The sequence below is a fragment of the Homo sapiens genome, chromosome 2 (genome assembly GCF_000001405.40).
Source record: "Homo sapiens chromosome 2, GRCh38.p14 Primary Assembly".
In the NCBI taxonomy this organism is placed as follows: domain Eukaryota; kingdom Metazoa; phylum Chordata; class Mammalia; order Primates; family Hominidae; genus Homo; species Homo sapiens.
The window spans coordinates 217,756,286-217,770,504 of NC_000002.12; the positions used below are offsets into that span (position 1 = coordinate 217,756,286).

The window sequence follows — 14,219 nt, forward strand, 5'->3', positions numbered from 1 at the left end:
GGGAGCAAAAGACAAAAACCCCCCGTGCCTCACTGTCTCCTCCCACTCACCCCCCGCATCAATTCAATGGCCTGGAATCCCTGCCTCTTCTGTTCAATAAACAGAGATGGCTCTAAAGAGAGGACCCAATGTGCTGAGCAGTCTTGGATAAAGAACACCGACAGTCAGAGATGGAAAGATACCTTCGTCGGACAGATGAGAAAACTGAGGTCCGCATGACGGAGCGACTTGCCCAGGGTCAGGCACCTGCGTAGGCACCTGGACACATATGCGTGTGCACGCACGCAAGGCCGCGCACGCTGGGCTCTGGCCGGCACGGCCCTCACGTGCCCTCACGCACGTATGCCCCGCATGGGTTCCCCCAGCGAGCTATCCCTGCGCCCACCCCTTCCCCTGCCCGGGCCTCCGGAGCTGCTCACACGCAGGTGAAGACTGCCCCCTGGTGGGCGGGAGCCCTCGGGAGGCCCGCAGGCCCAGCGTCCTGCGCCCGTAATCCCTCAAAGGGGCTTCTCTGGAATCACCCCCAGGCCCTGGGGCCAGGATCGAGGCTGCTCTGGGAACTGGGCTTACACGGGTGTGGGTGGGGACCTCTGGGATCTTAGAACCAGGAAAATAATAAAGCAGAGGCTTGATGTTGCAAGTTTAGTTCCTGGAAGCTGATTGAAATGGAGATGAGCAACAGGAAAGTTTTTTGGGGGGGGTTTCTAGAGATCAACACCTCTTCCAAGGAAGGGACACAACCAGGGCTGGGCAGAGAACGTGGGCTGCAGCACAGTCACCTGAAGGCCGGGAGCATGGAAGTTAGGTTGGCCCTCTGGGACTAACAGGTTTAGCAAACAAAAATACAGGATGCCCAGTTAAATTTGAATTTCAGATACATGTGAAAGTTTTTTGTATAAATATGTTCCGTGCAAGGAGAGGAGAGTGTCTGTGCAAAAGGGTGGGAGTTGGGGGGTTGTGGTGATGGAGACTGCTTACATATAGAGAGATGGAACAAAACAGGTAAAACAGTCACCCACCACATTCGTGGTTTCTGTGGATTAAACCAACTGTGGATTGAAAATATTGGGGGAAAAATGGCTGGTTACAACTGTACCAAACATGTACAGGCTTTTTTTTCTTGTCATTATTTCCTAAACAATATAGTATGACAATTATTTATGTAGCATTTACATTGTGTTTTGTATTACAAGTAACCTAGAGGTTACAGGAGGATGTGTGTAGGTTACAGGAGGATGTGTGTAAGTTACATGCAAATACTATACCGTTTTACATAAGGTATTTGAGCATCCATGGATTTTGGCATCTGAGGGAGTTCTGGAACAAATCCCCCATGGATACTGAGGGACAACTGTACTAGGGATAATAGGAGCCACGTTTCTCATTACTGGAAATGAGAGTAGGAAATATGGAAAAAAGAAAAGAAGAATAAACCCAGTGGAATTAGAGATATTGGTGTGAGCTCAGTTTGCAATATGTAGAGGTATAAAAATACAGATATAAATGCATGAAGGACTATATGGACTGTATGTTTGTATGTAGAACTATTGTGGACTGCATATTTATATCCCTCTCCCAAATTCATATATTTAAACCCTAACCCCCAACGGCATAATATTAGGAAGTTGAGCATTTGGAAGGCAGTTAGATTTAGATGAGGTTATGAGGGTAGAGATCCCCATGATTGGACTGTGTCTTTTAATAAGACAGAGAGACTAGAGCTTGTTGTCTCTACTATGTGGGGATACAGTGAGAAGATGGTCATCTGCAAACCAGGAAGTGGGCCTTCACCAGACATGGACTCTGCACCCTGATCTTGGACTTCCCAGACTCCAGAATTGTAAGAAATGCATTTCTGTTGTTTAAGCCACCTAGTCTACGGTATCTTGTTATAGAAGCCCAGACTGACTAAGAAAATGACTCTAGATATAAAGTTGGAATGTGTGTGTGTATAGTTTGCTTGTATGTATGTATATCTATATCTACATATGTAGATATATGAGGATATATGTAGAGATACATATATTCTCTTTTTTTTATTATTATTATACTTTAAGTTTTAGGGTACATGTGCACAATGTGCGGGTTAGTTACATATGTATACATGTGCCATGCTGGTGTGCTGCACCCATTAACTCGTCATTTAGCATTAGGTATATCTCCTAATGCTATCCCTCCCCCACTCCCCCTACCCCACAAGAGTCCCCAGAGTGTGATGTTCCCCTTCCTGTGTCCATGTGTTCTCATTGTTCAATTCCCACCTATGAGTGAGAACAGGCATATATTCTCTATCTCTACTGCGAAGATGTAGGGATGGCAACACCCTAATAACAATGACCACATTCCTTGGTTTCTAAATACCATTCTGTGCTAAAAGAAACCAGAGCTCCTTGTAGAAATAGCCACTTCTAAGACCAGAGCTGAAGAAGTACTGTCAATTACTAAGTGACAGTGACAGTTATTACAACATCCAACTATGATTGTCTAGTTCTCCCTGTAGTTGTATCATTTTTTTGTTTCATGTATCTTGAAGTGCTATTATTAAATACATACACATTTAGAATTGATATCTCTTCTCAAGGAATTGACCCCTTTACCATCTGGGTTAGTCACCTTGGCCTGCCTAACAAAATGCCAGAGAACAAGTGGCTTAAACAACAGAAGTTTACTTCATTACTGTTTTGAAGCCTGGAAAGTCCATGATCAATGTGGCAACAGGGTTGGTTCTGGTGAAGCCTCTCTTCTCTCCTTGGCTTATAGATGGCCACCTTGTTGTGTCTTCATGTATTAGTCTGTTCTCACATTGCTAATAAAGACATACCTGAGACTGGGTAATTTGTAAAGGAAAGAGATTTAATGGACTCACAGTTTCACATGGCTGGGGAGGCCTCACAATCACACAATCATGGTGGAAGACGAATGAGGAGCAGAGTCACATCTTAAACGTGGCGGCAGGCAAGAGAGCTTGTGTGGGGAATCTCCAATTAATAAAACCATCAGATCTCCTAAGACTTATTCACTATCATGAGAAAAATATGGGGAAACCGCCACCATGATTCAATTATCTCCACCTGGCCCCACCTTTGACATGTGGGGATTATAACAATTCAAGGTGAGATTTGGGTGGGGACACAGCCAGACCATATCACTTAACATGGCATTTCTTCCATGTAGGCAGAGAGAGATCTCTGGTGTCTCTTCCTCCTCTTATATGGACACCAGTCCTAATGGCCCCACCCTTATGGCCTCCTTTAACTTTAATTACTTTTGTAAAGGCTCCATCTCCAAATACAGACACTTTGATGGTTAGGACATCAACATATTAATTTTGAGAAAACACAATTCAGTTCAAAAAATAATCTGTACCATTGTGACCCATGACCATCTTTATCTTCTTGTCTATTTTGTCAGATATTAATATAGCTATACCAGCTTTTTTGTGTTTGATGTTTGCATAAATAGCTTTTTTCATTCTCTTACCTCTGTCAGTGTGTTAATACTTAACACGCATCTCTTCTAAACAGTGTTTTACTGTGTCTTGCTTTTTAATTGTCTGACAAACTCTGCATTTTGAGTGCTTAGTCTTTTATTAATTAAATTATTGACATGGTTTGCTTTAATTCTACCATCTTGCTACTTGTTTTCTTATCTGTTCCCTCTATTTTTCATTCTTTTGTTTCCCCTTTCCTGTCTTAATTGAGTAATTTTTGGTATTCTATTTTCTCTATTGGCTTTTTAATCATACCTCTTTGTACTTTTTATTTTTATTTTTATTTTTTTTTTTGCAGAGACAAGTGAACATTTATTTTTGTACCTTTCTTCCTATGTGTATTTCAAGTCTTTTTCAAAACAAGGCCTGAGGAATCTCCAGATTCAATTATGTCCCTGGGCTTTGTCGACAGCTGCAGGAGTCTTAGGGAGCCTTGTACAAATGCTAGAGTTACTCATTTACCAACATTAAACCCGAGAATAGAAGATGCAACAAAGCAGGTTTCCTTCCTCCATGGAAAGTGCTGATTTCAGACAAGGCAGCAGCCAATGTAGAAAATGCTGGAATTTTTCCTTGGAACTGGACTGTGATGAGAGGTGCTTGCCATGAACATAAGCTACTGTCTTTTCTTTGACCCTTCCTTTCCAGTTTTTGAAGATAAAGCCGGAAATAATCTTCTCTGAAGATACTTGATAAAAATTCCCCCCCAAAAAACAAAAACACATGCTTCCACTTCACTGATAAAAATTGACTGCAGTTTGGCACCTGGGTCTAGTTCAGCTGGCGGATGAGCTGATTGATGCGTTCACCCCGATAGCCAGGTGTGCCTATCTCCTTGAGGAAGCCCACTCTATTTTTGGTAGCGTGACAGGCCACTGAGAAAGTGGAAAGGGTCCAAGAACCATGAGATCTCCTGGAAATGCTACCCTGGGAAGCCAATTTCATGAATGAGGTCTTCCAAGCAAATGACACCAAACTTCAAACTTCCCTAGGTGCTCCTCAATTAGTGTGTTGTCTGTCAGAGGGATGGTCTTATTCTTGACCTTGGCTTGTCCACGTTTCAAAATGAGTTCCCAGACAGATTTCAGACTTGGAAATCCCCAAGTCACATAAGGTTCCACTATACGCAGCATTTTTAGGTTCTGGGGGGTGACTTTTACAAAGACACCACTAAAAATTTTCTTTAGGCGAAGTCTTGCAGTGGTTCTCTGCACCAGTAAACATGCCATCAATCCTTCAATGCATTCAACAAAGGCCAAGGAATGTTTATCTGGTGATTCCAAGGCACAAGGATTACTTCTAGTCATCTGAGACACACCTTGTCACGTTTCTGCCTCCAGGAATCATGTAGAAATGATTCCAGTCACTTAAACCTGAGCCCTTTTCCTTTCCTCTGCTCCTTCTTTGCCAAAAGTGCCTGCTTTGCCTGGGTGGCTTTGAGGGCTTGATAAGCCTTCCTCTTTTTCAGGAGATTTTCTGGAACCAAAGGGATTTGTCTTTCCTCTTGCTCCACCATCTTTCTAGTGTTGCAACTACCTGCACTTTTTATTTTAGTAATTGCTTTACAGGTTACAATAGGTGTTCTTATCAGACTTTATCTTGAAATAATATACCATACACACAATTTGAGATTCTTAAAATAGTATAATCTCATTTACCCGCAATCCATCTTTTGTGTTATTATTGCCATATACATATTTCTGCATGAATTATGAACTCCACAATATGATATTATTTTTAAATGAAAATGTTAACTTTTGAATAATTTAAGAAAATAAAAACATAGTGTTATATTTATTCACGTTTCCCATGTGCCATATTCTTCAATCCTTCCTGTAGATCCAGATTCTCTCTAGTAGCATCTCTCTTCAGCTTAAAGAACTTCCTTTAGCATTTAATGTAGTACAAGTATGCTGTTGGAAAATCCTCTCTGCTTTTATGTTTAACTTAATATGCCTTTATTTGTCTTCATTTCTGAAAGCTATCTTCACTGAATATTTAATCCAACATTGATAATATATTTCTTTCTGCAATTTAAAGATGTTATTCCATTGTCTTCTGGCTTTCAATTTTTGTGATGAGAAGTCAGCTGTAATTCTTATCATTGTTTTCCTGTATATAATGTGCATTTTTATTTGGTTACGTTTAAGAACTTTTTTTCCCAGTTTTAACTTTCAGAAGTTGGACTATCAAAATGCCTGGGTGTGATGTTCCCTGTATTTATCTTGATTGAGATTCACTGAGCTTTCTATATGTGTGACTTACTGATTTTGACCACTTTTGGAAAATTGGTGGGAAGAGCCATTATTAAAGTTTTTTAAATCCTTATTTGCAAATCTGAATCCCTAGGTCAGCAGTCCTCAACCTTTTTGGCAGCAGGGACTGGTTTCATGGAAGATAATTTTTCCATGGACAAGGGTGGGGGATGGTTTCAGGATGAAACTGTTTCACTTTAGATCATCAGGTATTAGTTAGATTCTCATAAGGAGCATGCAACCTACACCCCTCGCATGTGCAGTTCACAATAGGGTTTACACTCCTGTGAGAATCTAATGCTGCCACTGATCTGACAGGAGGCGGAGCTCAGGCAGTACACTCACCTGCTGCTCATCTCCTGCTGTGCAGCTCAGTTCCTAACAGGCCATGGGCTGGTACCAGTCTGCAGTCCTGGGGTTGAGAACCCCTGCCCTAGGTTGTCTATGGACTTGTTTCTAATTGAGGTTTTCCTGTTTCTTCATCTGCATTTTTTTTATTTTGGAAAAAACCTCAAATTTTCAAGAAAGTTGCCCAAGTGAAGCAAAATCTTTTTTCTCTAAATTATTTGAGAGGCAATTTCCAACAAGATGCCCTTGCCCACTGAATACTTTTGTATGTATGTATTGCCTACAACAAGGATATTCTCCAATATAACCTAATGAGATCATCAAGGTCAGGAAATTAATGCTACTATATTACTATCATCTCATCTTCAGATCTCATTCATGTTTAGTTGTCTTAATAATGTTCTTTACTGTAAAATATTATAGTCCAGAAACTCATGATGGATTTAGATGTCATGTCTCTTTAGTCTCCTTTAGTCCATAACAATTTCTTTCTTTCTTTGCATTTCATGATCATGAGTTTTTTGAAGATTATAGGACAGTTATTTCATAATACATCCCTCAATATAGATTTGTCTTAAGTTTCTCCATGGTGTATTTTAGTTTTTGCATCACTGGCAGAAATATCACAAAAGTGAGCTATACCACTTGAGGTGGGACATCATTGTTATTTATCTCACTAATGGAACGACTTACGCACAGAAAATTTACCAAGATAGACCAAATTTTTTATGAGGCTTTATTTTTATGAGACCTTATAAAATCTCAATAAATTTAATAGTATTCGAGAAATACCAAGTTTTTTATCTGACCACAATAGAATCAGATTCGAATCAAAAATAGAAAAATAACTAGAAAATCTCTATTTAGAAACTGAATACTGTAAGTCTAAATAATCCATATGTCAAGAAATAAATCAAAAGAAATTGTAAAGCATTTTTCACTGAATGAAAATGAAAACACAACAGAGCAAAATCTGTAGAATGTTACTGAAGCATAAATTAAGGAGAAATATATGGCACTAAATGCCTATATTAGTAAAGAGGACAAGTCTCAAGTCAATGGCCTCATCTTCCACCTTAAGAAACTAGAAAAGAAGATTAAATTCAACCCAATGTAACAGGAATAAAGAAAATAACAAAGAATCAAGTGGAATTCAATGAAATAGAAATCAGAAAAATAATAGAGAAAATTATGAAACCAAAAGCTGGCTCTTTGATAATATCAGCAAAATTGACAAATTTCTAGCCAGACTAATAGAGAAAAAAGAAACAGAGGACACAAATTACCAATATCAGGAATGAGAAAAGTGGCATGACTATGGCTTCTAAAGATACTATGAGGAAAAAAGGGGATACTGTGGACAATTTTAGGCCAATAAATTGAACAACATAGATAGAATGGACAAATTATTTGAAAGACATGAGCTACCAAGTCTCACTCATGAAGAAATAAATAATATTTATACTGATAACCCTATACTTATTAAGCTAGTTGAATTTGAGTTAAAATTCTTCCCATACACACACACACACACACACACACACACACACACACACACTCAAACTCACACAAACCATGTGCAGGTCCAGAAAATGACAAACGTGAAAGAACTTCATAAACAATTTTTTTTAAATTTCAATAGCTTTAGGGGTACAAGTGGGTTTTGGTCACATGGATGAATCATATAGTGGTAAAGTCTGAGCTTCTGGTGTACTCGTCACTCAAAGAGTGTACATTGTACTCAATAGGTAATTCTTCATCCCTTACCCCCTCCCAACCTCCCCACTTCTGAGTCTCCAATGTCCATTATACCACTCTATATGCCATTGGGTACCCATAGCTTAGCTCCCACTTACAAGTGAGAATATGCAGTATTTGCTTTTCAGTTCCTGAGTTATTTCACTTAGGATGACGGCCTTCAATTCCATCCAAGTTGCTGCAAAAGACATTATTTCATTCTTTATGGCTGAATAGTATTCCATGGTGTGTGTGTGGTGGGGTGTGGAGGTGTATGTGTGTGTATGTATATATATACACTTCAGATATATATACAGATCGTGCCACTGCAGTCCAGCCTGGGCAACAGAGGGAGACTCCATGTCAAAAAAAAAAAAAAAGCATAAAGGTGGAATGCCGCCTTTGTTTTTGCCCTTTTATGGCTTCTTCTGGTTATTGTCATGGTGACTGTCAACCATCATGGCCCTGGTAGGAGTATTGTTTAGCATGGAAATGTGATTATAATAAAGCCTGAGGTATTTTTGAAGTTACTGGTCGTCTATCTTGGTTCTAACCATCTCAGCTGGTGTGGTTACAAAGGGAACTTTTTTATCACGGGTGTCCTGTTTCTTAAAGATAAGCAGAGTTAGGACAGGTAGAAATTCAGCTATGTTATGTAGGCATTTACACCAGCGGGAATGGATCGAATGGTAGATCTAGTTTTAGTTATTTGAGAAATCACCATACTGTTTTCCATAATGGTTGTAGTAATTTACATTCCCACCAGCAGTGTGTAAGTGTTCCCTTTTCACCACATCCACACCAAAATCTATCGAGTTTTAACTTTTTAAAAATAAACATTATGGCTGGGGTAAGATGGTATCTCATTGTGGTTTTAATTTGCATTTCACCAATGATTAGTGACGTTGAGCATTTTTTCACGTTTCTTGGCCATTTGTATATCTTCTTTTGAGAAAAGTATGTTCATGTCATTTGCCCATTTTGAATGGAATTATTTGATCTTCAGCAAAGACAAAAACATACACTAAGGAAAGGACACTCTATTCAATAGTCCTGGGAAAATTGTATAGCCACATATAGAAGTGTGAAACTGGATCCCCATCTCTCACCACATACAAAAATTATCTCAAGATGGATTAAAGACTTAAATCTAAGACTTGAAAACATAAAAATTATAGCAGAAACCCTACGAAAAACTCTTATGGACATTGGCCTAGGTAAAGAATTTATGACAAAGATCCCAAGAGCAAATGCAACAAAAACAAAAATAAATAAATGGAACCTAATTAAACTAAAAAGCTTTTGCACAGCAAAAGAAATAATCAACAGAATAAACAGACAACCTAAAGAATGGGAGAAAATATTTGCAAACTATACCTCTGATAAAGGATTAATGTCTAGATTCTGCAGAGAACTCAAATCAACATGAAAAAAACTCATAAACAACTATTAATATAAGGAGTTATTTGAAAACTCAAGCAGATTTCAAACCTAGAAGAAATGAATATTTTTTTAAAAATTCATAAGTTATTACAATTAACCTCAGAAGTGAAAGTCAAAATAAACAAATTTTCAGAAAGGAAATGAAGTAGTAAAATAGTTCCCCTGTAAAAATTCACAGCCTACATAGTGTTACAGAGACATTATATCCAAGTTTTAAAGAGCAGATGATTCTAATACTGTTTATTTAAACTATTCCAGAGCATTGGAAAGAGAAGGAAAACCTTCAAATTCTTTTTATGATGTTTGTATAATATTGACAACAAAACTTGAGAAAGAGTCCAGGCATGGTGGCTCATGCCTGTCATCCCAACACTTTGGGAGGCCAGGGCAGGCAGATCGCTTGAGCCTAGGAGTTCTAGACCAGCCTGGGCAACATGGCGAAACCCCATCTCTACAAAAAATAGAAAAATTAGCCATGCATGGTGATGCACGCCTGTAGTCCCAGCTACTCAGGAGGCTGAGATGGGAGGATTAACTGAGCCCAGGGAGATTGAGGCTGCAGTGAGCTGTGATCATACCACTGCACTCCAGCCTGGGAAACAGAGTAAAACTGTCGCAAAAGAAAAAAAAAAAAAAGAAAGAAAAAAATAACTTGACAAGGACTGCACGTGAACACACACACAAACACACACAAAAGAAAATTCTGTATCAATCTCATTTAGGGAGATATATGTCAAAATATGAAATGAAAAATTAGCAAAAATCATGAGCACATTAAGAATAAAACATCACTATTTCTACCTCTGATATGAAGGAGTAAAACACCTAACAAATCAACCTTTCCGTAAATGACAACTACAATCTCTGGGGAAAAAATTTAAAAGTAAAAAATAAGCCAACTACCCTGTCATTGAAAAGCGATCAATGAGAGGAGGCAGTGGCAGATGTGGGGTGAATTTCATGTTTTGTGACTTGACTCTGTGAGTAGCAGCAGCTGTCGTGGTTGTACTTGGCAACAGAAACTCCCATAGAAAAGCATATCATCATTCTTCCTGAAGGAACTAAAGAAAGGATACTGGGGAAACCAGAGCTGCCAAAGAGAGAGGATACCCTAGAAAAGAGAAAACCAAAGAGGAAGAATCCCAAAATCTGTGTATAAACTCTGCCCAGTCTGGCTCCCCTGAAACACGTATGCACAGGGCAGACTGGAGGCAGTCTGAACTGAGGTCTGAATTGCCACACACTACAGGCAAGAGAGACTTTGAAGTATGACTCTCCCAAGTTAATTGCTTCATAAAACAACACATCAACACTATTTGGAACAATATAACAAACTCCAGAGCCTCCACAACATAACATTCAAAATGTCTGGAATACAATTCAAAATAATTGACATACAAAGAACCAGAAAAGTGTGAACCATTCTCAAGGGAAAAAGCAACCAACTGGGATTCAGTCCTGAGAAGAACCAGGTGTTGGAATGATCAGATAAAGACTTTAAAAGCAGTCACCTATGCTCAATGGGGTAAATGGAACCTTCTCAAAATAAATGAAAAGATCAGAAATCTCAGCAGAGAAATAAAAAAATAAAATAACCAAAAAGAGATTTTATCTGAAAAATTTAATATCTAAAATAAAATTCACTGGATGGGCCTATTTGCAAAATGGAGATGACAGAGGAAAGAATCAATGAACTTAAGGAAATCAACCAATCTGAAGAAAAGGGGAAAAGAGCACCTCAAGGACATGTGGAATAACTTCAAAAGTAGAGGAGGAAGAGAATGGAGCAGAAAAAACATTTAAAGGGAAAGGTCTGGAAACTCTCTACGTTTGATAAAAGATGGGAATGTGAAAAATTAAGAAGCTCAGCAAATATCAAACAGGAAATATTTAAATAAAAACTTCATTGGTTACATCATGGTCAACCCACTGGACCCAAGGAAAAAGAGAGAATCTTGAAAGCAGCCAGACAAAAATGAAAAGTTACATTTTTATTTGGACAACAACAGTTTAAATGACCATAGACTTCTCCTCAGATGTCACAGGGGTCAGAAGACTGGAGAACAACATCATTAAAGTGCTGAAATAAGAAAACTATCAACATGGAATTTTATATCTAGTTAAACTTGAAAAGTAAGAGCAAAATACATTTGCAGATAAAAGAAAAGCAAATGAATTTGTTCTAGCCATTAATTCTGGCTTATGAGAGATGATAACAGAGGCAAACCCAGATCTTTAGGAATGAATGGAGACCAACAGAAATAGTGAATATCTGAATAAATCTGAGTAAATATAAAAGTCTATTTTTCTAATAACTTCTTTCAAATAAACATGAATAAGGAAAAATTGTGAAATTCTCTTGTCCAGTTTATAATGTATATAATACAACTGTAACATAAATGCAGGTGAGGTTATAAATTAATCTATATGGTCACAAGGTGCCTATATTTTATGTAAAGTGGTACAATAGCAATCTTAAATAGACTGAGAAAAGTTAAGGATATGTTGTAATGCTTAGAACAATGACAAAAATAAAATTTAAAAAAACAAAGAGGTATAGATTAAAAACTAATAAATACATAAAATGAATTTAAAAATGCTTGAGCAATCCAGAAGAAAGCAGAAAAACAGGAAAAGAGAAACAAAAAATAAGTGACACAAACATAAAACAAATAACAAAATGGCAGACCTAAGTTTAAGCATATCAATAATTATATTAATTATTAACGGTCTCAACATCCAAATGGAAACACAGAGGTTAGAGAAATGCATTTAAAAATAAACAATAAAAAACATAACCCAACACACTTTAAATATAAAGATAGGAATAAGTTCAAATTAAATGAATGCAAAAAGATATATTATGCAAACCATAAGAGAGCTAGATTAGGTATATAAATATCTGATAAAATAGAATTCAAGATAGAATAGTACCAAAAAATGAAGAGGGAAATTTTATAGTGACAAAAGGATCAATTTATCAATGAGACTTAATAACCGTAAATGAGTATAGATCTATCAACAGAGCCTCAAAATACATGAAACGAAAATTGACAGGATTAAAAGGAGAAATAGAAAATTCCATAATCACAATAGGTTTTTAACACCTCTCTCTCAGCAAGCGATAGAGCAACTAGACAGAAACATCAGTAAAGATCTATAAAAATAATGGTATTATTCAGGAATCTGAATAATAATATTCGCCATGTTGACCTAACTAATAGTTACAAAACACTACCTAACAACTGCAGAATACACATTTATTTCAAGTGTGCACTATGTGTTTGCTGAGATTTACCATAGTCTGGGCACAAAACAAGTCTCAATAAATTTAAAAGAATTAAAATCATACAGAATATTTCTCTAACCACAACCAAATTAAATTAGAAACAAATAAAAGTAAGATAGGCAGAAAAACCCAAAGCTTGTGATAAGATTCTTAACACACTCAGCAGAATGTTTAAAATTAAAAAGACTGACAATACCAAATGTTAGTGAGGATATGGAGCAACTGGAACCTTCATGCATTGTTGGTGGAAATGAGAAATGATACAACCACTTCCAAGAAGTGACAGGATTTTTTTTTTAAGTTAAACAGCATACTCTGGTTTTTCTTCAGATTGCATAAATCTTTTACCTTTCACTAAAATTTTAACATACACCTACCATATGACCCCACCAGCCCATTTCTAGGTATTTACCCATGAGAAATCCACGCATTTGTCCACAATAAGCTCTGTATGTAAACGTTCACAGAAGTTTTATTCTTAATAGCCAAAACACTGGAACCAACTTAAATATCCATCATTTAACTGAATGAATAAGCAAAAAATATAGTATATTTATACAAAGGAATACTACTCAGCAAGAAAACAGAACAAACTACTGATAAACACAAAAGCATGGAAGAATCTCAAAATCAGGCAGAGGAAAAGAAGGCAGAAATGTATATATGGATGGATGGATGGATGGATAGATAGACATACACACAGACATATATCTAGTATTACTCCATTTATATAAAATCTTTAAAAAATGAAGCATGTAAAGGAATAGAATCAGTGGTTACCTGGGACTCGGAGTAGAGGGAAGGGTGTACTGTAATGGGACATAAGGAATCTTTTGGGGCGGATGGAAAAGTTTTGCCTCTTGATTATGGTCGTAGTTTCGTGGCTATATACAACTGACAAAATAGTGTGCCCTTTAAGTGAATTCAACTTATTGGGTGTTATTTACACCTCAAAGATGATATTTTTAAATTTCAGCACAAAAAATTAAAAATGGGATCAAGTGGGATTATTCTAGGAATACCAGGATAACTCCTTAAAATCCATTAATACAGTTTATTATGTTAAGAAACAATAAAACGTGATTATCTCCATACATTCTGGGGGAGCATTTGATCAGATTCTGCACTCATTCTTGATATTTAAATTTAAAAGCAAATAAAATAGAAATGTGTGGATATTTCCTTGACATGATAAAATGTTTTGAATAGAGAACTACAGAAGCTATTGATGTTAAAGTCAGAAATAAGACAATGATTACTATATTCACTTCCTATTGCTGCCACCACAAATTTAATAGCCTAAAACAACACAAATGTATTCTCTTACAGTTCTGGAAGTCAGAGTCTAAATGGTCACACTGAGTTAAAATCAAGGTGCCAGCAGGGCTGCATTTCTTTCTGGAGGCTCTAGGAGAAAATTGATACACTTACCTTTTTCAGCTTACTAAAGGCTATCTGCATTCCTTGGTTCATGGCTCTCTTCCATCTTCAAAGCCAGCATTTGCATCATTCTGACCTTGGCTTCTAACATTGCATCTCCTTCTCTGACTCTTACTCTCCTACCTGCCTCTTACAAGGACTCTTGTGATAATCTTCCCATCTCAGGGTCCTTAACTCAATCACATCTGCAAAGTTCCTTTGCCATGTAAGTTAACAC

At 37.3% G+C, this 14,219-nt stretch overlaps 1 long non-coding RNA gene and 1 pseudogene across 12 annotated transcripts in view, besides 1 other annotated feature; both read right to left on the reverse strand.

Moving 5' to 3' along the window:
• DIRC3 (disrupted in renal carcinoma 3) overlaps positions 1-14,219 on the reverse strand; it is a 506,425-nt gene that overhangs the window by 472,267 nt on the left and 19,939 nt on the right. For 7 of the 12 annotated variants that reach the window (NR_186304.1, NR_186299.1, NR_186300.1 and 4 more), the window contains exon 1: positions 183-278. The exons of 4 other annotated variants lie outside the window; for them this stretch is intronic. This is a non-coding gene — a long non-coding RNA (disrupted in renal carcinoma 3). Of the gene's footprint in view, positions 1-182; positions 309-14,219 lie in introns of those variants that run through there. One more of the 12 variants, NR_026597.2, reaches the window with a different exon arrangement.
• Positions 362-531: a silencer, noted in NCBI's record as "silent region_12308". NCBI's record gives its function as "represses an Ori minimal core promoter by ATAC-STARR-seq in GM12878 lymphoblastoid cells {active_cell/tissue: GM12878}" and the evidence as "EXISTENCE:reporter gene assay evidence [ECO:0000049][PMID:35858748]".
• RPL7L1P9 (RPL7L1 pseudogene 9) lies at positions 4,105-5,026 on the reverse strand (annotated as a pseudogene).